At 38.3% G+C, this 23688-nt stretch overlaps 1 protein-coding gene and 1 long non-coding RNA gene across 7 annotated transcripts in view, besides 5 other annotated features; one reads left to right on the plus strand and one right to left on the minus strand.

Annotated features, from left to right (window-relative positions):
• The window catches only part of LOC124901056 (uncharacterized), an 891204-nt gene extending 870286 nt beyond the window's left edge, over positions 1-20918 (minus strand). Inside the window, exon 1 of the long non-coding RNA XR_007058919.1 lies at positions 19300-20918. This is a non-coding gene — a long non-coding RNA (uncharacterized LOC124901056). The remainder of the gene's footprint in view (positions 1-19299) is intronic.
• Positions 10053-11252: an enhancer, noted in NCBI's record as "CDK7 strongly-dependent group 2 enhancer chr5:125695125-125696324 (GRCh37/hg19 assembly coordinates)". NCBI's record gives its function as "activates an origin of replication core promoter dependent on BRD2, BRD4, P300/CBP, MED14 and CDK7 cofactors, with strong dependence on CDK7, by STARR-seq in HCT116 cells {active_cell/tissue: HCT116}" and the evidence as "EXISTENCE:reporter gene assay evidence [ECO:0000049][PMID:35650434]".
• The window catches only part of GRAMD2B (GRAM domain containing 2B), a 134245-nt gene continuing 121296 nt past the window's right edge, over positions 10740-23688 (plus strand). For 4 of the 6 annotated variants that reach the window (XM_017009781.2, XM_011543593.3, NM_001146319.3 and 1 more), the window contains exon 1: positions 10740-11079. Coding sequence is in view for 5 of the 6 variants with exons in the window: in XM_011543593.3 (XP_011541895.1) it covers positions 10952-11079 (128 nt within the window). In the remaining variant the exon portion in view is untranslated. Of the gene's footprint in view, positions 11080-21932; positions 22188-23688 lie in introns of those variants that run through there. The other 2 variants (XM_005272057.5, XM_005272058.5) reach the window with 1 other exon arrangement.
• Positions 18029-18770: an enhancer, noted in NCBI's record as "H3K27ac-H3K4me1 hESC enhancer chr5:125703101-125703842 (GRCh37/hg19 assembly coordinates)". NCBI's record gives its function as "activates a minimal SCP1, AML or CMV promoter by ChIP-STARR-seq in naive H9 embryonic stem cells {active_cell/tissue: H9 hESC(naive)}" and the evidence as "EXISTENCE:reporter gene assay evidence [ECO:0000049][PMID:30033119]".
• Positions 18771-19511: an enhancer, noted in NCBI's record as "NANOG-H3K27ac-H3K4me1 hESC enhancer chr5:125703843-125704583 (GRCh37/hg19 assembly coordinates)". NCBI's record gives its function as "activates a minimal SCP1, AML or CMV promoter by ChIP-STARR-seq in primed H9 embryonic stem cells {active_cell/tissue: H9 hESC(primed)}" and the evidence as "EXISTENCE:reporter gene assay evidence [ECO:0000049][PMID:30033119]".
• Positions 21627-22151: an enhancer, noted in NCBI's record as "H3K4me1 hESC enhancer chr5:125706699-125707223 (GRCh37/hg19 assembly coordinates)". NCBI's record gives its function as "activates a minimal SCP1, AML or CMV promoter by ChIP-STARR-seq in naive H9 embryonic stem cells {active_cell/tissue: H9 hESC(naive)}" and the evidence as "EXISTENCE:reporter gene assay evidence [ECO:0000049][PMID:30033119]".
• Positions 22152-22675: an enhancer, noted in NCBI's record as "H3K4me1 hESC enhancer chr5:125707224-125707747 (GRCh37/hg19 assembly coordinates)". NCBI's record gives its function as "activates a minimal SCP1, AML or CMV promoter by ChIP-STARR-seq in naive H9 embryonic stem cells {active_cell/tissue: H9 hESC(naive)}" and the evidence as "EXISTENCE:reporter gene assay evidence [ECO:0000049][PMID:30033119]".

Genomic DNA, 23688 nt, shown 5'->3' on the forward strand with positions numbered 1-23688 from the left:
TGAGAAGAACCATTTGTTCTGTATTGTCCTACTCCTTAATGAGCTTAACAAAGAAGTAGAGAAGTGCTCAAATCAGCGTACAGCTCAATAAACTTTCACAAAGCAAGCCTACCAAAGCAACCAGTGCTCAGACCATAATCAGCACACAAAAGCCCCATTTGTGCTCACTCCTCAAGATACCCCCCACCCAAAACAACCTCTATCCTGCTTTAACTAGAGATTAGTTTTGCCTGTTTTGAGCTTTACATAAATGGACTCGTTCAGTGTGTACTTTCATGTCGATTTATTTTCCATACATTATATGTGTGAGATCCATCTTTGTTTTTGCATGTGTCAATGATTTGTGCATTGTCATGGCTATATAGAATTTTTGTTTCAAGAGCATCTAAGCAAACAAGTATTCTGAGGAAAACGCTTTGAGATACATGGATCCCAGTGTTAGAATATAAAAGCTTTAATCAAAAGAGCAAAAAGTAAATAAGACCACCTCTGGAAACAGCCTGAAGTCAATTGTTAAGAAGCAGCTGTTTCAGGAGAGAAGTAGAATGGTAAAAAGCTCTATGGATATGTTAATTTGCCTGATTTGATCATTCTACAATGAATAAGTGTATCAAAACATCACATTGTCCCCCATGAATATGTACAATTATTATTTATCAAAAATACAACTAAAGAGAGCTCTCAGATAAATCAGAAAGGCCATCTTAGAAATACCCAGAACTGAGTCAGGGATCTTGGCTTAAAGGGAAATAAGACAGCCTTCCAAAAAGGTTTTGATTTAGGCTGTCTTTGTTCTCATCTCTTCAGCAAAACCTCTTTTTTGCCTCTCCAGTTCCGACTTTAGAGCCCTAACTGTTCTGAAGCCAATACCCCACTTAGGGATCAAGTTTTGCCACAGCTTTCCACACATTGTATATACATGACCTAACCATTCCTCATGGGAAAGAATATTAGCATTCTGTTGCTACCTCTTTAAAACACAATATCTTGGCTGGGCGCAGTGGCTCACGCCTGTAATCCCAGCACTTTGGGAGGCCGAGGCGGGCGGATCACGAGGTCAGGAGATCGAGACCATCCTGGCTAACACAGTGAAACCTGTCTCTACTAAAAATACAAAAAATTAGCTGGGCATGGTGGTGGGCACCTGTAGTCCCAGCTACTCGGGAGGCTGAGGCAGGAGAATGGCGTGAACCCAGGAGGCAGAGCTTGCAGTGAGCCGAGATCGTGCCACTGCACTCCAGCCTGGGTGACAGAGTGAGACTCTTTCAAAAAAAAAAAAAAATGATTTCTTGTATTATTATCAAAAGCTCTCCAGATTGAGGGTAACATCCCAAATATGCAGGGAATACCTTAAGGACAAAATTGTAAGTTTGATACTTTGTAAGTTTGATACTTCAGTGCTGCCACTTTATGAAACTTTCTAAGTTACTATTGTTACTAGCTAACTGATATTTAAGGCACTAACATTTTTACCAATATTTCATAATACTAGCACTGAAGAGAAGTTTTTATTCTGTTATGAAGATGTTAATTAAAGCAATTATCAAAATGGTCCCATAAACATTGAGACCATATTCTGAAAATATAATTACCCTTTATTGTTTTTCTCTTCCTTGAAAAAAAAAAGCCCAAATTCACAAAAAACTTTAGTTTCATAAAACTCATTTGAAGTACATTCAGTAGTTTTTTAAAAGATATTAGTTTCAGTGGCTCTGGAAAATATTCCAAGAATCTAAGCTTTTTCCTACATTCTTCTACTTACGTGAGATTAAGTCTATGATAGAGTTCAAGTGTCCTGGCTTTAAATATTTAACAGGAACAAGAGTAGAGGTGTTGGAATATTTACCAGGGTATTAGTAAGAGGAAGGAGTGGTTTGTCAGCACATGGTTATTTGAATTCTAGCTATAAATCCAAACCCAGATAAGAAGACACCAAAAGTTCATTTCATCAGCTACCAAGATACACTGAAAAATTTAAAGTGGTCATAAATTGTATTAGCTCCTCCCATCAAGAGATAGATTATTTCCCCACCATGTGAATCTAAGTTGGATGACTCATGACTGCTTGGACTGATAGAATAAGTCAGAAGTGATGTTATGTGACTTTTGAGCTTGAGCTTCAAGAAGCTTGCAATTTTGCTCTTGCCTTCTGGACTTGAGGCCTTCGTGTAAGAAAAGTGAGAGAGGCCACTGCAGGGAGAGACCAGGCGGAACACACTCTGAAGGCCCCAACAAACCTGTCTTAGTCCATTTGTGCTGCTATCACAGAATACCCAGACTGAGTATCAAGAACAGAAGTGTCTCAGTTCTGGAGGCTGGGAAGACAAAGATCAAGGGGCCAGCATCTGATGAGGGCTGCTCACTGCTTCCAAGATGGTGCTTTGGATAGTGCATCCCCAGAGAGGAGAAATGCTGTGTCCTCCCTTAGCAGAAGGACAAAGAGCAAGTCTACTCCCACAAGCTCTTCCTATAACAGCATTAATTCATCAGGGCTCAGCCAAACACATCCCAAAAGCCCCACCTCCCAGCACTGTTGCACTGGGGGTTAAGTTTCTAACACATGAATTTTGGGGGACACATTCAGACCATAGGACAACCTCCTGATAACAGTTAATTATTTGAATATACCCCCGGAAACAGCAGCAACATAACTGCCTAATTGAGCCCTGCTCAACTTCGTGAACAAATTGCCAATTTAAGCCACTACATTTGGGAGAGGTTTGTTATACAGCAAGAGATAACTGAGACCGAGCCCATTTCATTGGCTACCAAACACACCAAGTCAGTAAGGGAAATGTACTAGCATAGTTGGGGTTTTACTATCAGGTCTCCACCTTCAAATTTCTACAGCACTGCTCTGCCTAGTTTGGTCACAATTTATTTCCAATCAAGACAACTGTAGTTGACTCCTGGTTATCTGTTCCTGCCCCTATTTACTTCCCACATCAATCTAACGTCCACGTTATTCAAGTGGCTAGGATCCTAATTAACATTCTCCCTGCCGTCACTCTTCCGCTCAAGCCGTGGATAAAACCCTGTCCGTGGGATAAAACCCTGGGCCCAGTATTCATAACCTTCATAATGAGGCTTTGCCTGACTTACGAGAGGTAGAGGAGTATTTAACCATTGACCCCCAGACCCCACAGATCAAGGGTTATTCCCCTGACCTCTGGGCATGTGCCATGGCCTAGAAAGTTCCTTACAGCACCAAAAATCTAATTTCTTTATATTTTCTTTAGATTAATAAATTAATCTAATACCTGAGATATTAGATGAAGCACTTGAAGTGAGACAATCTCAGCTAAAAATAAGTGGAAGCCTGCAGAGAATTGTCCAGTATAGTCACAGCTGAAATCAGAGGGCCAGTCAAGCATTTGTGAATCCATGTGCCAGCTGTACCTGCTGCTCCCTGTCTGAGGTCATAACATCAATATCCATTTCCTTAGGAAGCCACAGAAAGTCTGATGTAAAAGGTCTCCTAGGAAGTGCACAGATATCCTGGACCTCCTAAGCTGTTTATGCAAACCCTGAACCTCCATAAATCATCTTTTCAAACAATGTTATCTCAGTTAAATTTATCCGTGGACTGTGTCTTCCCAGGAAAAACTTACAAGACAATCAGAAACATCTCCTCTAGAACCACCTGATATAGGATTATTTTGTAAGAGAACAACCCAAGGAGCCTCTATAACCCCAAGTGATCAAAACTTAAATCAATAAGAAATTGACATCGTGTGCTTCTTGATCTGATGCACTGAGAACAACACAAAGATTATCATTGTGGCGATCTTACCAAAGATACAAAACCTGAATTTAATCAGAAAGAAGCATCAGAAAACCCAAACTGAGGAATATTCTTAAAACAAACAAACAAACAAACAAAACTGTCCCGTACTCCTCAAATTTATTGACGGGGGAAAAAAAAAAAGACCAAGGAACTGTTTGATTGGAGAGACTAAGGAAACATGCTTATAAAATACAACATGGCCCCTGGGTTGGACTGCAGCCTAGAAAGACAGCTGAAAATTTTGAATAAGGCCTGTGTATGAAGTAGTATTGTGTCAGTGTTAGTTTTCTAATTTTGATTAATTGCATTATAGTTCGATCTGGATGAAATGATGAAGTAGCTCTTGTAAGAGTTCAAAATGAGAAGTTAAAAAGTTTAAGTTGTTAAAATCAGTGGATAGCAGATAATGAGCAATTGGAAGATGATACCTGAAATAGGCAGATTACAAATGACGTTTGTCATATTTAGTTGGATATTGGTTGACTTGAGCACTGATTTGCAACATGTGTTTGGGGCTATCCCACTACACCCCCAAGTTCACACTCACCTATTTTTACTTGAATATGTCACTTAATTCTTAGAGAAACTTCAGAATAGTGTTGCTCACAGTTCACTTTGATTTTACAATGTAAAATATACATATAAATATTTTTACAAGGGGAAAAGAAAGAGGGAATATCATACAAACAAAAAGCTAACTTCCAAAGAGATAGTTGAATTTCACAATCAATTAAAACAGAATCACCTGGGAAGCTTGTTAAAAAAAACTCTGATGCCCAAGTCTCACACCAAACCTATAAAATCAGAATGTATAGGTGTGGGGTATTTGTACAAGTTCTGTGCAATTGTGAGGCATACTAAGAAAGTTTGAGAACCACCATTTAAGAAAATAACTGGTCTCTAAATTAGGACTCATTATCCACTAGATGGTGCCAAGAATTCAAAGATGGAACTTTGTGGTACAATGTCTATTTTCCTTTGAGTATACAGTGTGTTCATTTTCCTTCTTATCCACTTTCTCTTCGACCTCTCCCCAACTTGTAGGAAAGGGTTACATCACACCAAAATAGATATTTTGTTCAGTATCAGTCTAGCAGCTTCTCCTTGGATTTTGGTTATAACAGACAGGCTCGTTCTGAAGGGATATTGAGAGGAAGTTGTGTGAGTACTCTTCCCTTAGCCTTTTACTTTCTCAGTGCAGATATTTAGAAGAGGAAAATCCACTGTAAGAGGTGGCCTCATTGGCAATGAGTGATTGGATAAGAAAGAATGGTCTGACCAGTTCCTAAAAGCCATATTTAGCCGTTTGTGGTTTTGATCCCTGTCCTTTCCCGGAAACAATGACTTCAAGAATGTACCACAACTATTTGGTATGTTATATCAGTTAAATAATAAGTCATATTATTAAATATCAGATTACTCTTAAGCTACCACTGCCTCAATGGAAAAGCATTTGACAATTTCTTAAACTGTTTTATCCTTTCTTTATCCTCAGGATTTTTGCAATTAAAAAATCCTGTGCAGATGATAATCTCATTTCAGTTTTTCTGATGAGTTTATGTGTTTGGAATCTGCTCCAAGGCATTGTGTTTATCCTCATGAATGTTTATTTTTAAATGTGTATCGAATAGAAATGGCTAGAAAGCCGAGCAAGACAAATAACATTTTATTAATCCTTGTCTTAGTCTCTTTGTGCTGCTATAACAAAGTACCTGAGACTGGGTAATTCATGAAAAAAAAAAAAAAAAAAAAATGTATTTTCTTACCATTCTCGAGGCTGGGAAAGATCGGGGCACTGGCTTCTGATGTGGGTTTTTTGGCCACACCCTCACACGGAAGGAGGAACAGGGGCAAACTAACTAAACAGTTCACGAAGCCTCTTTTATAAGGACCTTAATCCCACTAACAAGGGAGAAGCCCTCATGGCCTAATCATCTCTTAAAGGCCTCACCTGTTATCACACTGGCAACCTTTGAATTTTGGAGGGAACACATTCAAACCATAGCAGTCCTACAAATATCTATTGAGCAACAATATGTACCAGGCACTGTGATACACATTGGTGTAGGGACACAGGGTTGAACAAAGCAAAAAAATATAAGCTTTCATGAATTTGCATTCTAGCTGTGAGAAATGTACAGAGGAAAAAAATAGCAAGATAATGATAGAGTGACAACTCTTTTACTTCATAAAGCAGAGAGGTGTAATAGTTTCTGCACAAGCCAGGATTATTTTTGACATTGTAGTCAGGGGAGGCTCCCTGAGAAGGTGACATTTGAGTTGAAATTGAATGATGACAAGAAGAGCCAGAAAGGAAGCTATATAGTCAGTGGGCGGAGCAGGTGCAAAGATCCAGGGGTAGAAACAAGTGTGGTATATTGCAGATTAGGAAAAAAACCAATGAAAGGAAGCATGAGCTAAATGAGGCTGGAGATATGGGCAAAGACCTGAGCAGGGCCAGAGGTTGCAATTTAGTGAAATAGAAAATTAGGAGATTTTAAAGGGAAGAGTAACATGGTTTTTTTCTTATTTTTAAATTTTAAAATCATCCTGGATCCTGATTGTAGAGGTGATACAAGTGGGAAGAGAGCAATTGGAATACTGCTGCAATAGTCTAGATAACAGATGGCAGCTTGGACTAGTAATAGGAATACCAGTGGAGAGAAGCACTGAAATTCTGGATGTGTTCTGAAGGCACAGCTGATAAGATTTGTTGATGAACTGCACGTGGGGAACAAGGGCATGAGAGAAATCAACAACACCTAAATTGCTTTTACATCAACCAGGTGGATGAGGAAGCCCTTTACTGGTCTGTCCTTACACTGCTAATAAACACATAACCGAGGCTGGGTAATTTATAAAGGAAAGAGTTTTAATTGACTCACAGTTCCACACGGCTGGGGATGCCTCACAATCATTGTGGAAGGTGAATGAGGAACAAAGTAAAGTCTTACCCGGCGACAGGCAAGACAGTGTGTGCACGGGAACTCCCATTTATAAAACCATCAGATCTCGCGAGACTTATTCACTGCCACGAGAATGGCATGAGTGAAACAGCCACCAAGATTCAATTATCTCCACCTGGCCCTGCCCTTGATATGTGGGGATTATTACAATTCAATGTAAGATTTGGGTGGAGACACAGCCAAACCATATCAGAACAGTAAAATGAGACAAGAAAAATTCTGGAGGAGAGCTGTAAATAAAAATTCTACTTTGGTCACAGTAAGTTTGAGGTGTTTATTTAATAGGGAGAAGTAAGAGGGGAATTATAAGACTTGGACATCATCAGCATATAAATAGCATTTAAAGTCATAGGATGAATAATATTACTGAGAGAATGTGTCAATAGAGAAGAGTATCTAGGACTGATCCCACTGACTCTACATTGATGTTGTATTGTTACTCTCTCAATAAGCCTTCAGTGATTTTCCTTGTTTATTTATTTATTTGAGAAAGGGCTCACTCTGGTGCCCAGCCTAGAGTGCAATGGTGTGATCATAGCTCACTGCAGCCTTGAACTCCTGGGCTCAAGCAATCCTTCCACCTCAGCCTCCCAAGTAGCTGGGTCAGTGGTTATTTTTGTTTAAGTAATGTAGTTAAAATCGATATTGGTAAGGTGAGAATAATAATACTGCATACAGTTATTGCAAGGAGCAAATGAGGAATATGTAAAATATCTAACACATTGCCTGGCGGAGTAGGAAATCGATAAAATATGACCTTTTTTTCCCCTATTTCCTTCCTTGGTAAGAGTGGACTCTGCAGTAAATTGCAATAGAACTAAAATCTCTCTATTGGCTCAGATGTCTTTACACAGAGAAAGTCTTAAGAATCATCTGCCTCTGCATTTCCAAAAGGAGATTCTTCCTATAGGATATTAACAGTTTTCCATTTCTATCTGGTTGAGCCTGAGTTAATAAAGTTGAATAGATTTATTAAATGCAGACCTTCATAGAGACCTCTAAGGGACAAAAATTGTGTGCTGTATTTGCCAACTTCCACACAAGCTAGAGAAATTGTCCACAGACCACAATTTAGGAAAGCATTGATTTACTCCAAGCCCCTATTTTACATAAGAGAAAACTGAGGCCAAGGGAGATAAGGTAACTTGAGTAAAGTTCTACCACTAGTAAAGTGTTCTGACACCAAACTTGGAGCTCTTTTTTCTAGAATATTCCATCACTATGATGTCGCTTATTATTACTAACACTACCCCAACTTTCCAACAGCCTTTCCGTCTGAGTAGCCTACTTCAGCTCTTTTCCTAAAAGCTGAGTTTACGAGGCATCTATATGGGGCTTTCAGGTAGATAAGATGCCTAGAGAAAGCAGCCAAGTGCCTCTATTTGTCTGAAATAGAACCCCTGTGGTTTATGAAGAGTTGCCTACATAAGAATGACTTTGTTACATATTCATAATATGGAGTAAGAGATAGAGTTTTTCCTTTTTTTTGGAAAAAAAAAAGCACAAACTGAGTAATCAAACTGTTACCGTATTTATGGCCTCATCTCCAATAATACGTGGGACCTTGGATCCATTCACCTGAGGTAAAATCTCTGAACTTTCATTTGTCTGCCTGTTATTAAGAAAGGCAGTAAAATGGAAGTTAATATTTGCTAAACCTTTGACCTATAATGCAGTTTCTAAATCAGCAGAAAGTATCTTTGTAGAGTTAAGCAGGAAAGAGAAAAAACAGAGCTTTGCCAAGTGCCTTTTCTCATCACCATTTCGCAGAGAAGAAAACTGGATAACACAGGCAGTAAACCCTCAGCATGTCCAAGGGCCCTTAACATGTTAGGCAAAAGGCAAGATTGGAAGCCAGGTTTGTCTCACATTAAAGGTGTATTGCCCCTTCAGTGAAAAAACCTGGAGTGCAGTCATTAGAATGGTGAGAAGAAGGGCTTCCCATAGACCTGAGAAGAGTTGGGTGGTGAGTACTACTCTCAACTTTGCCTGGTGACCATGGAGGGAAGTGGAAGTACGGAAGGGGAAGTGGGAGATGAAGTGGGATTGTAGTGGCAACAGTTTGTAGGACTAACAATACAATTTTTAGATCTTTAATAGATGTCATCTACCCTACCCTAAAGCTACCTTTCCTATTCTCATGATAGCAGACCTCTAAAGCATATCAGACTTTGATCCCAGGAAGATCCACTGTATTGCCTAAGTTCATCCTGCTGACCTACTGAACCTGAAGACCCTCTCAAAATTACCCTCATTTAGCTCAAGTGGTTGGCAACAGTTAAAACATAATTGCCCCTGGAGCTATTATCATCTTACTGCATTAGTGATATGAATATAGGATCTGAAGCAGTTAGCTATTGCTGTGTAGAAATCCATCTCAAAACCTCAGTTGGAAACAATTATTTATTATTTTTTATGAGTCTACAGGTGTTCAGGTAGTTCTGTTGATCTACATCAGTTAGATTTTGGCTGGGCTCACTACTGTGTCTGTGGGGACTTGGCAGGTCACTGGGGAGCCGGGTGGTCTACGACAGCCTGAATGACTCAGCTCTGTGCCATGTGGTCTCATGTGGAGGATACCTCTAATTCAGTCGTGTAGTCATAGTGACCACAGGGAAGGAGTAGAAACCCACGAAGCTTCTTGAGGTCTAGACTCAGAACTGTCACAGTATCACTTCTGCCACATTTTATTAGCCAAAGCAAGTAACAAGACCAGTCCAAGTTAGAGTAGGTAGAAATTACAAAGCTATAAGGCAAAGGCTATGGATATATAGAGGCCATTAATGTAGCTGGGATTATCAATGCATTCAATCTAACACAACCTGAGGGCAAATTTTAATTGAAAGAATAGGAAAGGGGCTGGACGTAGTGGTTCACACCTGTAATCCCAGCACTTTGGGAGGCTGAGGTGGGCAGATTTCTTGAGGTCAGGAGTTCGAGACCAGCCTGGCCAACATGGCAAAACCCCATCTCTACTAAAAATACAAAAATTAGCCAGGTGTGGTGGTCCATGCCTGTAATTTCAGCTACTCGGGAGTCTGAGGCAGAGGTTGCAGTGAGCCGAGATTGTGCCACTGCACTCCAGCTAGGTGACAGAACAGGACTCCGTCTCAAAGAAAAAAAAAAGGAAGGAAAGGAAAGGATAGAGAATATAAGTTGTTTGCATTCTAAATAATCTCTTGCATAGATCTCTCTTGTTCTATTACCTAGTTTTGAACTCAAGCAAATTGTACTCTTCTTTCTCATTTGTAAATCTTTATCTTAGTATATCCTATGCAAGTAAATCATCTCCAAATGTACACTTTGTTTTGCAATGGTCTTAGATTAAAGTGAATTAAGTACCTAAAACTATTTAATTATTTGAGTTCAGCCAATCAGATTTTTGTCTGATACAGAGTGAAAAAAAAGAAAGAAAAACTTTAATGCCATTTCATTATTATTCTAATTAATGAGCAACTTTACTGTCTGCATTAGTGACACGGTAGAACAGCTAAAAAGAAGGAAGTTTGAGTAAGTTCAGCTTCTCTGTGAATTTGCTTTCCAGCATGACAGGTTTATCATCAGTAAATATTCATTGAGTCCCCACAGTGAGAAAAGAATCATGATGAGTATGACACAAAACATATTCTAAAGAGAAATATATATTCCGATTACAGAATGCACATATGAGACACGGGTGATAAGACATTGATCATGCCATTCAATAGTGAATATCAAAGTTGTGTTAGGTTTGTTTAATTTATGTAATGAATAGGCATGAACTTGTAGGACAACTGAGGACCATTTGGGGTGAATTATGGTAGAGCCTTTGAGGTAACACACAATCACTGTCTTCTAAAGTGAAGAAAGGCATCAGGATTGCGGAAAGACATACGTCATCATGAGTAAAGGGTCAGTGATGTGACTCCAAGTCAACATCAAGATAAGATGAAGCTCTTAAGGCAAAGACGTAACATTATCTTAAAGGTCACATTGAATGTTTCTGTGGTCATTTGCTTTCTCACACATGTGGGTTTCAAGTGCGGCTGGTGCCATCCCTCTGAGCAGACGCTGAAAGAGAAAACTTCTGAGATAGCACTTGTGAGCGAAAAGCACACCAACTGGCTCAAAGAGCTGTGGTTGGGCAGATCTGGTGTAAATACAAAGTTCCTTCCCGACATTTCCCAGAGTTTCTTGAAGATCACCTGGCCTCTAGAAGATGACAAGGAGACAGCAAGTCCTACAAGCAAAAAGGAGCATTCAGCAAACATTCCAAGCACAGCTTATGCCCTGGAAGAGTATGTTCCACGGGAGAGAAGTGAAGCCAGTGGGTCCGGACCTGGAACTGTAAGTGACAGGTCTCAGACCTGGAAAAACCATTTGGGAGTGGAGTGTGGCTTCTGTGGTTTAAAAGGCCTTTTTGGTATCTTAAGGACAGAGTGTCTCCACATGGAGAATGTCTTTGATTGCCCACTGGGGGAGTTTTCCTTGTTTATCATCAGGGTCTTGAGTAAAAGCAAGAATTATCCCACATACTGTAATGTCCTCAGAAACCCCTGATACAAGTACATTTTGCTTATAGGTGTATTGCACAAAACTGGAAGTTTGAGGTTTGTCATGTCACTCAAGCTGAAAGGGGAATTCAAGTGGAGACAGCAGTGAGCAATGCTAGGAGTGGCTTGAAAGATACAGTTGCAATCTAAGACTCTATGTGTTCGGGAGAACTCAGTATTTGCCATTTCAGCTCAGGAAAACTAGGATTATAAGATATTTGCATGAAGTCACACTTGCCATGTCAACTCTCTACATTTTGGTTTTAGGTTCCTTTTAACCTAGAAAGGTAGGTTTGGGTTTGGGTTAGGTTTTATGAGCTCCTTGTAAGCAGGCACTATGGGTTAGCTTTTTGGTTTTTTAGGTTTTGCTTTGCTTTTTACTTTAAATTTTGTACAACTGCTAGCAGAGTAACAAGTATATGTAGAGATATTTAATTTGTTTAAAAATTCCTCTATTATTCTGACTATAATTGCTTTAAAATCCCTCAAATAATCCTATCTTCAAAGAATAAATAATTGTATTGAAGGGTTGTTAGGCTTAGCCCAGAGCTAGGGCAATAAATAGAATGTCTTCAGAAAGACATGTGAAGGGTACACATAAACACTGTGAAGAAAAACACTGTCTGTGAGGCATGATGGGAACTGAAAACATAACATAAAATATAAATGGGTGGGAAGATTAGGATCTCTAGTTTCCTTTCAGACTGGGCTTTGGATTCTACAAACCTGCATTTGAATCCCAACTCTGCTGCCATTTAACTGAATGTGTTGACTAGGAAAAGAGACAGTTTCTCAAGTTTCAGTTTTCTTAATTCCGAAATGGTAAAAAAAAAAAAAAAAAAAATTCTGTTTCCTAGCATTGCTAAGAGGATTGAGTAAGTTTCTATATGTAAAATGCCAGGCATATAGAAATTACACAATGAATAAATTCCCTCTGCTCCTCATCTTCCATTTCTGAAAATCTAACAAGAAACACTGAAACACGGTATCTCAGATAAACTGCCCAGGGCTCTGCAGTTCTCGTGATGGCCCAGCCCAGTCACCAAACCCTACCTCACGCTATAGAGTTTTCACAGGTGCTTTGGGCAGAGGTCCCATTCTAACTCTAATTTACCAAAAATCTCAAAATGATGTCTTTCCTGTCTGGGTTAATTGCTCACTGTGGCTGTGGAGGAGTTGGTAAGCCTCTATATCTGTGTTTGAGTGTCACAAACTGTGGGACATGAGACCAGTTCGATAGGCACTCTGAGCCTCAGTTCTTCCTCTGCAAAATCAGTGTAATACCTACCTCCCAGAAGCATTCCCAGCAATGCACACAAGCATGTTAAGCCTACCACCATCACCCCAAATGTGGTGACCTTTCAAAAACTCCTTGCCAGTTTGTTACCCAGTTGGGTCTCCTCCTTTGTTTTTTATTACTAGTGGAGAATATTTTTTCATTTGTTATTAGCCACATGCATTTCTTCAGCTATAAATTGCATGTTTATGACCTGACTCACGTGTTAAAAGATCCTATGAGCTCAATTCTGAAGACCAAACGATTTTTTGATCGGGCAGCATCATTTCAGTCACCTCTTCTGAATTTGGCCTGGCCTTGCTACACTTCACTGTTTTAAAAAATTGCAGGATGAATGCTAAATTGAAGAAATATGTATAATCAACAGCAACATAGATACAAACTATTATATAATAGTATATGAGCCTTTCACTTTACCTGTCTTTAATTTCATGCTTTCTAAATAACTTAAGATTTTGTTGACAATCATCATTATTAGTGTTCTTTGTTATTGCCATTATTACAAACAGGTGAAGTAAACAACTACCTAGAAAATTATGATTTCAGGATTATCAGGAAGAATTAAGGAAAAGTACCAAAAGTCCTGGCCTTGGACTTATGTAGACATACATAAAAAAGAATAAAAACACAAGATCTTCAAAAGGAACAGAGATACTCAAAGTCATTAATTCTGAATACATTTCTATGTATATTGTTTAAAATAGTTACCAAGAAATAAACACTAACATTTATGGTTAATTAATTTTCAACAAAATGGGCAAGATAATCCAATGGGAAAAGAATAGCCTTTTCAACAATAGTGCCAGGACAATATTCTAAAGAATGAAATTGGACCCCTACCTTACAACATACACAAATATTAACTCAAAGTAGATCACAGACCTTATATAAGAGCTAAAACTATAAAAATCTTAATAAACATACGAGTAAATAATCATTGGGTTGGGCAATTATTTCTTAGGCCCAACACCAAAATCGCAAGTGATAAAAGAGAAAATTGATAACCTGGACTCTACCAAAATGGAAAACTTTCTTTGGTGCTTCAAAGGACACCATGAAGAAAGTGCAGAGACATCCTATGAAATGATAGAAAATATTTACAAATCATATATTTTAAGGAACTTGTAGCCACAATATATAAAGCATACGAGTCAATAATAAAAAGACAAATAACCCAATTTTAAAACGGGGCAAAGGATTTGAATGGATTTTTCTCCAAAGAGAATACACAAATGGCCAATAAGGACATGCAAAGATGCTCAGCATCATTAGTCATTAGGAAAATGCAAATCAAGACCACAATGCAACGCCACTTCATACCCACTCGAATGGCTATATCAAAAACAAAAAAAAAAGAAGTGTTGGCAAGCATGTGGAGAAACTGGAACTCTCATCCACTGCTGGTCAGAAATGTAAAATGTTACGACCATTTTGGAAAAAAAGTTTGTCAGTTCCTCAAAAAGTTAAATATAGCAATTTCATTCCTAGGTATATAATCAAGGGAATTGAAAACATGTGTTTGCATAAAAACTTGTACACAAATATCCATAATAGCATTATTTTTAATAGCCAAAAAGTAGAAACAATCCAAGTCTCCATCAACTAAATAATGGATAAATACAATGTGGTATATCCATACAATAGAATATTTTTGGTCACAAAATGAGATGAACTTTGAAAACATTGTAGGTGAAAGAAGACAGTCACAAAAGATCACAGATAGTATGATCCCATCTATATATGAAATGTCCAGAATAGGTACTTTTTCTATATATACAGATGAGATATGAATGTCTCATCTCTAAAGAGAGAAAGTAAATTAGTAGGTTAGTGGTTGCTTAGGGCAGAATGGAAGAGGAAAATAGGGAGGATGGGCAGGGACTGCTCTTGGGTACAAGGTTTCTTTTGAGTCATGAAAATGTTCTAAAATTAGATGGTGGTGATGGTTGCACAATTCTGTAAATGTACTAAAGCCACTGAATTGTACACTTCGAACAAGTGAACTTTGTATTATGTAAATTATATCTTAATAAGGCTTTAAAAAAACTCTAAAGTGATAGTTACTTTAAATAAGACCTTATGATTTTATTATAAGTATTGATCAAAATAAATATAAAATTTGCTAAATCCTTATTATGTTCAAGGCAATATTTAAAGTCTTTACAAATACTAGCTATTGTACTTTCTTAACAAACCTATTTGGTAGGTACTATTATTCCCATTTTACAGATTAGGAAACTAAAATATAGAGATTTTCAAATTCCCCAGCTATTAAGTAGCACAGTAAGAATACAAACAGAAAGAGTCTGCATTTTTTAAACAAAGTATGTACTGAGTCTGGATCTAATTGCAAACTATGGGGAGGAAATTCCTGAAATTCAGAAAATTGTGGAAATTTTGAAATATTATAATTAATGATGGAACCTAACACAGCTAATGCCTCAGAGTAAATATCTATCTAATTACTTCACACAATAGCAGTGGAAAATGAAAGTGTAGGTTGTAGGATCGCTTCCCGCTCTTGTCCCGTACAAAGACAACATTTAACACAGATGGTCTGTTGCTGGTACGTTTTCATTCTCTCAAGAGTCACAACAGGGAGGAATTCTACAAAGCAGCATGATGTGAAGAGGATCTAGATTACCAGGTCAGGAGTGGAACATGAATCAGGAGGCAGCCCTAGCTCTGCCACCAACTATTCAAGTGACCTATCCCCACTAGTGATAGATCTATAACAGGAAGTATTTTAAGTACATGCATTCTAAGGTTCCTATTGGCTCTAAAACCTCTCCCTCTATATCCTCTATCATCTAGTTTCTAGACTAATCTCAAAAACATCTTGGCCAGTGGTATGTTCATTCCCAAACAAATCTTTCTGAGATGTTTCATAGAATTCTCCAAACATGTCTTTGATTCTGTTTCCACTACTCTGGCCCCTGGTGCTCCAGGTGTGGGAGGGAACAGAGAAGATGTGTCGGTTTCTCACTTTGAAGGGTAAGGCCTCTTGAAAATAATGACTGTATTTAGTGAATATTGGATATACTTTCAGAATTACCAAATGATTTTGATAATCCTTTAGAGTAAAACATAATTTTGATGATGATAAAATGTTCATTGTGATTATCTCTGGTGGCTGAGGATTACAGATGATATTTTTCTTCTTTATATTTTATTTTCAAAATGTTTGTAATGAGTATACATTTTGTTTTGTAAACTAAAAAAGCAGTATATTTTAAAAACCTTAGTGGCACAAAGTTGTGAATGTAGTTCATGCCACTGAACTATATACTTTAAACTGACTAAAATAGTAAATTTATGTTATGTATCCCTTAGGCCAGTAAAATTAATACAAAAAATAACCTTATGGGGGACGCTAATAATCATACTATCTTCAGAAGTATTTCTCTGAAAATAATTATCAATTTGCATAAAATCAAACAAAGGCAGAATATGCAATAACCACTATGCAATTTGACAGATAATAATGCTATTGAAATCAAGAATGCTGCTTTTTAAAATCTGGTAACTCTGAGGTCAAATGTGTATGTTTTATCAAACACCCAAATGTGAATGTTTAAATGTTTACAGCGGTGTAAGGGAGTCAGCTCATGCTTGCTCAACTGTCAGTTCATTACAGGCTCAATTCCCAAAGTCACGTTCAGTGTATCATGTCAGCAGCTTGAAATCAGCTGTGGTAGGAGTATTTACGCTGTGGAAATTGGCCAGTGCTACAAATCAGAGCTTTTTTTTTTTTTTCCTGGAAAACCGGTTTACCAATGCATCACTGTTTAAATAATAAACATATCAATCAACAGAAAGTTCTGCAAACAAAATTTTTAAAATCAACTATCTCAAATCATTTTATAAATTTAAGCAAATATAGTTAAAAGCACTAAAAAGACTTACCCAAGCTGGTGGATAAACTAGAATAGGAACTTGGGTTTTCAAATTTCTTACCTTTATATCTTAAAGCCCCAAATGCACACAAAAAAAGAAAGATTATCTAAAGTCCAATCTTGCCATGTCTACTTACATGTTTACTGAAGCTGCAAGATCAACTTTCTAATCTTCTGGGGGCAAACTCCCTCTAAAGTCATGAGCTGTGGCAGATAGTAATAGTTCTCTGACAAGGGGATAACATATATCCTTTCTCTGCATCCTCTCAAAGGGTTCACAACTTTGGGAGAGAAATCAACCCCCTCCCCTCTTTATCATAAAAACCGTAGAATAAAGAAGTTTGAAGGAGAGAGGAAGGGACTTAAGATATGCTTTAGCCCATGAATTAGACTGGAATATTCCAAGCTGCTTGGCAAGGTCATTATCACCAGTGTCAACACTCCATGGGCCTAGACTGTCAATGCTTGCCCTCCCTCTAGGATTAGGTCTTCCACAAACCACGTGCAAACACACAGCTGTTGTCCCATTGAGTAAAGCAAATCATATCTTTCACTTATATCATATGACTCCACTCAACATGAGTGAAAGTATGACCAACTCAAAGATCCTAATCTTCATTGTCATTACCATCAGTAGTATTTTCTGAATGCTTACTATGTACAGGCTTCATACTTGAAGTTTACACATATTATATCAAGTCCTCCAAACAATTTTTTGAGATAGATATTATTGTTATTCCCATTTTTACAAAAGCTCAGAGTAGTTAAATCCCTTTCTAAAGTAACAAAGCAATGAAATAATCAAGCCACCCTTTTCCAGGCAACCTGACCCCTAAACTAACACTCTAAACCATGAAATCAAACAGCCAACCACAGGAATGTGGATATATTTAATTTACACCCACACACCGGTTTTCCATACATGGTTATTCCATGTATGGAAATATGGTGACAACTGAAATTCAAGGTGATTTTACCAGACCAAGGCTTTTTTTTTTTTTTTTTTTTCTTTTTGAGATGGAGTCTCGCTCTGTTACCCAAGCTGGAGTGCAGTGGCGCGATCTCGGCTCACAAAAACCTCCGCCTTCCGGATCCAAGCGATTCTTGTGCCTCAGCCTCCAGAGTAGCTGGGATTACAGGCCACGCACCACCACACCTGGCTAATTTTTGTATTTTTAGTAGAGACGGTGGTTTCACCATGTTGGCCAGGCTGGTCTCGAACTCTTTATCTCAGGTGATCCACCCACTTCGGCCTCACAAAGTGCTGGGATTACAGGCGTGAGGCACCACACCCGGCCCAGACCAAGGCTTTTTTTATCCAAATCACAGTACTATGTGCTTAGAGTATACAAGCTAATTGTATTAATAATAGCCTAAACACAGCATAATTTATCAAATAAATCTTAAGGCACAAATATTTCTAACTTCGCTTATTTGTAGAGAAAATCTCGTTTATTTCTAAGTGTAAATTTATATTCCATGGCTCTGGAAAACTCCATTTTGAAGCTCTGTTAATCTGGTGGTTCTGGTTTGATCTTATGTCTCAATATCCAAATCCTACACCTGTAAAAACTGGAGGAGGAGGAGGAGGAGGAGGAGGAGGAGGAGGAGGAAGTAGAGGAAAAGGAGGGAGAGGAGGAAAAGGGGAATATACAGGCATGAATTCCGCACCTCCCATCCATCGAGCCTAGCATCAGTAGGCATATTAGTTTCTTATTTATGGAATCCAGAATGCTCGGATATAATAACCAAAGATTATTATCATCATTGCACAAGACTACATTCTTTGAATTATGGACCTTGTTTCATTGAAGAAAGAAAAAACTCTTATGGCCAAACTTTAATTTGTAGGGCTTAAGCAAAGAAAACTAGAGCTTCAGAAGATTTTCTTTTCTTTTCTTTTCTTTTTTTGATTTGGATTCTCACTCTGTCGCCCAGGCTGGACTGCAGTGGCGCCATCTCGGCTCACTGCGAGCTCCACCTTCCCGGTTCACGCCATTCTCCTGCCTCAGCCTCCTGAGTAGCTGGGACTACAGGCTCCCGCCACCACGCCCGGCTAATTGTTTGTATTTTTAGTAGAGACGGGGTTTCACCGTGTTAGCCAAGATGGTTTCGATCTCCTGACCTCGTGATCTGCCCGCGTCGGCCTCCCAAAGTGCTGGGATTACAGGCGTGAGCCACCGCGCCCGGCCGAGAAGACTTTCAACATTATTTCTCAATTCCCATGGAAGGATATAAAAGAGTCTCTGTGATTTTTATTTTAGTTGTATTTTATTTATTATATATTATTCATTTTGGCCACTGTGCATGTTCCTTTTATAGTTATATTTACATAAACGTCCTATTCCAGTTGTTTATCTTTGACCACCTGGTCTTTGTTTTAATTTGCACACACACAAATGAAAGCTGTGGCACAGGCTAGGAGGGCTTGGGCAGAGGCCATGTCTAAACAGTCAAAGGGCTCAGGCAGTGGCTGTGGATGGCTGCACAGCAGTCAACTGCCATTAATCTTGAAAATAAAGCTGTCAGAATTCACATTTTCTTTCAATGATCATGTACTATCAAAACCTTATTCCTATTTAAACATAAAGTCCAGCTATAACTACTTGCACATTTTGTCAGCTTTATCACAGGCAGCTCATATCAAGAAGTGAAATTCACCGGGCAAGCCCCAGCTGGCTCCAGCCCTCAGACAGGTTTAGGATGCCTCCTCCCACCAGAATCTGTTGTGTTAAAACTTGAATGCCCTGAGGGAGGCAAAAGCATTCCTTTGTTTACCACTCTCTGCTGGCTTCTGTCCCTCCCCCAGGGTTTTACTTACCTTTCCGGTTCCTAAAGGCCTTTGAGTTTGTGACCCCTGCTCTAGACTTTCAGAAAATCTCACCTTTGACACAATTTCTTATAATAAGGATTAACTCAACATCTTACATAAGAGTTCAGCCAATACTGTTTAACTACGTCAGTATGCTTCCCATAGGCTAGTAAATTGCTGCGTAACTGAAATAACCGTAACACCCGGCTGACTGGAGTAATGGGACCAACTCATCTCATTCTGCTTCCAAAGCATCGTGCATATGGCCATCGAGCTCATCTTTCATCATTTTATTTCCATTACCTACAGGATAAAGCTTGAACTAACCACACTGGCATCAAGGTTCCTTCATAATTCAGCCTCCAGATAAATGTTCACTATTCCTCTACTTCACCAACAAACTCTCCACTCTCCACTCTCACACACATACCTGGTCCATGCCCATTTATTTGTTCATGAGCACTACTCCTTTCCCTTTCTGCCTTCCCCATGACCCCACATTGAAACTCAAACCCCACATTTTCCATTAGACTTTTATAAGTCATACCAGTCTCAATTGATTTGCCTCCTTTTAACTGTAAATGCTCAATAAATACTTGTTGAATGAATGAATGAATGAATGAATGAATGAATGAATTCCAGCATGACCACATGCTTACTATTTAATTATGGCCAAGTGGTTTAACCTTTTAAAGATATAGTTTTTTTAATCTATAAAAATGTAATTTGGGCAACGATTAAATGAGATGTTATATACGAAATTATCTAGTAGAGATGCTATATTGACTCAAAAGATATTAGCTAGTACAGAGAGTCAATAAATATTAGCCTAATTCACTGCCTTTCTATCGCTTTTATTTTTAGTTAACTTTTCAGTTATGTAGACTGTTTTTTCCTAGCTTCATTGTTGAAGCAAGGACCCATTTTTTAAAACTTTTTATATCACTCGCTGCAGCTAGCAAAGAGCTTTGCTAATAAATATATATCAGTTGATTGAGTGAGTACGAGGAAAGCTTATCTATTGAAAAATAAGTTCAAAGACTGTTCACTGACACTGGAATTTCCTCCTTTAGAGACATTTTGTTCTAAGTTAGGAATTGCCCCTGTTTAATCCAAACCTGCATGAGACAGAGAGTAACAGACTACATTTCACTGACCATTAACATCTGTGCCAGTAAGAGTTGTCTTTTGTTTACAAGGAGCAGAAACTCCCATGCAGGTTGTTGCTATTGTATGAGGCATGGTGACTGGTTTAATTCAGCAATTTAATATAACAGCTTATTTAATGTCTCCAACATTTCAACTCAATTTCAGCACAGAGATAAGAGAGGAAAGAGAAATATAGACCGTGCTCTGTCAAGGAAGGACAGGGAGGAAAGCTGGGGGCGGTGCACCTTCAGAACTGTAGCATGAGGGCGCTCAGCAGTACTAAGGTGACCACCTGCCCCAGTTTGCCCAGCACTAAAGATTTCCTGGAATTTAGGGCATTCAGTGCTAAAACCAAGAAAACTCAGCAGGAAAATATTGTCCAAAATAATGTAATATCACTGAAAGACTCACTTCAAAAGTGTTCTTAGGGTCAATACAGCATGTAGAGCAGCACAGACCTGTCCCTGCCAGGTTAGCAGTTGGTTAGAGCAAAATGCTAATGAGGCCAAGGCTAAAGGTTTGCTTTGATTTCCCAGGAAACTTTGCTCTCTTCCACAATCAGAAACTGTGTACTTCTCTTAAGCCAGCCATTCTGCAATGTCACTGACTAATCACAAGGGGAACAAGGAGAGAGAGCATAGCTACTGTGGAACAAATCTTTCACTGGTGCTAGTAACGAGGGTGGAGGGACACTGATGTTTTCCTTGTGCATGAACATTTGTCGCATGAAGAAACTCATTTTCTGAACTTATTTGTTAGTAAAATGCATATCTAGGTAACAATAATGACACATAATTGCAAATCTCTACTGCATATTCTCCTACGTATTTCATTCTAATCCTGTGAAATCAGCATAACAGATATCAAACAGAGCAGAACTGGGATCACCTGCAGTTGCCCAGCCAGCAAGCAAGAGACACATTCGAACTCTCGCTTCCTACTGTTTGTTTGTTTGTATTTGTTGTTACTGTTTGGGTACAAGTCACAGCCTCCTATAACCCAGCAAAATATGCAACCTGAATATTGAGACTCCCTTGACTTTGTGTATATCACTTCCATAAGAACTCCAGAACTCTTCAGGTCCCAAGGACCAAGGAATGCAGCCTTAAAACTGCTGTACATCTGCCAAACATTGGCTGCAACACACACAGTGTGCTGGTCATTTCCTGCGTGAGTACAGGCATAAAGCACATCCACATTGCTCACCCTGTTGGTCAGGCTCAGGTGGTTAGAAAAAGCATCCTGCTTTTAATGTTTAGATGCTGCCAGTCTCTGCACCTCATTGTTTTGTTTTGTTTAGGTGTTTACTTTTCCATGCTTTTCTGACTAAATTCAGATTCAGTGGTGTTCATCTTAGTGAACTAAAAGTTGAATTTCCCAAACACATTTATTTCTTTACAGCAAACATAGGTAGGATGAAAACCGCCCTGTGTCACACTGATATGTTAATCATTAACTGACTTTTAAAAACATAGCCTCAGCTAGATTGAGTCACATGAAGAAAGAGCTTCCTGCAATTCAAGGACTGTACAAAGCTGAAACGCAGAGATTTTCATATTATTTGGGAGACTCAGAAATGAGCTTTTAAGGTTGTTCCTTGACTTGCGGGTCAATAAGCGCACAATGGTGAAGAAAAGGCTGCCTTCTAGTGACACGGTGTTCCGGTTTGAGACTCCGGGCAGCCCAAGGAAGGCCAACGTGGAGGCCTCACGCAGCTCCACAGACAGCCCCAGCTCGGTGTTCCTCAGGTGGGTACAGCCTGGGCCTGGCCATCCACGTCTGTCCCCCTGGTGGCCTCAGCTACCCAACTGGTGACCCTTGGAGAGCTCCTTTTTCATTCCTGGAGGTAGGGATCAGCCATGGGAAGAGAAGGTGCAGCCTAGGCATCCTGACCAGTGGATTCGAAGGGGGTATGTAATAAGGGATGGGCTCTTCTGAGCAAATAGAACTATTATTACTATGAAGGAAAAATAATTTTTAGTGCCTTCTTTAGTACTTTCTTAGTACTGGATAACTGGTCACTATGCAATTCCTCAATTCTTGACTCACTCTCAGGTTCATAAGAAGTGAAAACAAATCGTTGAACCCCAAATCGACTTTGGTATCAAAATTACATGAACTATTATTAAAATAATAATTATTAAAATATTAAGATAATTGCCTTCTTTTTGCCTTTCCAATTTAAATTTAAAATAGTAGCAACTGTTCTCTGGTTCAAGTACTTACTGCATAGTGATTTATAGCAGTTTTGGCCAATTTCAGAACATATTCATTTTAGCTATAAACTCATCAGTATCCAAATCAGCACATTAATATCCACATCAACACCACTCTAATAACTACATATTTTTCATGAAAATTTATTTTTCAAATTCTTTATTCATTTTGTCTCATTATATTTATCTAGCAATTTATAGAATGTAGAAATTTAGTATAAGTGGAAATCACATATTCAAAAGAAAGTTTTTCATCCAACTTTCATGTAAACTTTAACGTAGCATTCATGTAAACTTCTCAGAATAACCCCCACACCCAAACTTTACTTTTTGACAGCACCATATCCAGAAATTCAAGAGTTAAATATGATCGTTGTTTTCTTTTTTAAATGGTTTTAAATCATTTACACAAAAAGTACTTTAAATTATAGCTTTCAAAAATTTAATAGAAAACAAAGAAGTTCTATTTTATTTAATTGCATTCACATATCAGAATGCCAGGTTATGAAAATAAATTAAACACTTTTAAAAAGAAGTTTTAGAGACCAAAAAAGTGAATGTGTGCAAATTGTTTTGTAATATATCTATTTTCAAGTTACTTAATTTTTCTATCCATTATTAAAATGAATCTATCTTACTTGTATTAGTAGTTGAGCAAGGGTATAATTCTGTGATTTAAAATGTAAAACTTAGGCAAACAAAGAGAAAAAATAAAAATAAAATAAAATGTAAAACTCATCCATTATTTCCATATTTTGCTGAGCTTCAAGTGCCTCTTGAATTGCTTTGTCTGTGGAATCCATCTCTTAAGTAGACTGTCATGCAAATTCTTCTTTGGAGCTCAAGCTCTAACCAGGAAAAAAATTAAATTAAATCAAAATGTATCAACAAACAAATAAATATTAAAACAAATACAAAATACATAAAGTATAATTGAAACAAAATAAATGTTTTCATAATTATAGATAAATAGAATAAAAGTAAAATAAAACCCACATCAACTTAAATTCAAGCCTCTTGCAAAAAAAGCTCC

The sequence above is a fragment of the Homo sapiens genome, chromosome 5 (genome assembly GCF_000001405.40).
Source record: "Homo sapiens chromosome 5, GRCh38.p14 Primary Assembly".
Taxonomy (NCBI): domain Eukaryota; kingdom Metazoa; phylum Chordata; class Mammalia; order Primates; family Hominidae; genus Homo; species Homo sapiens.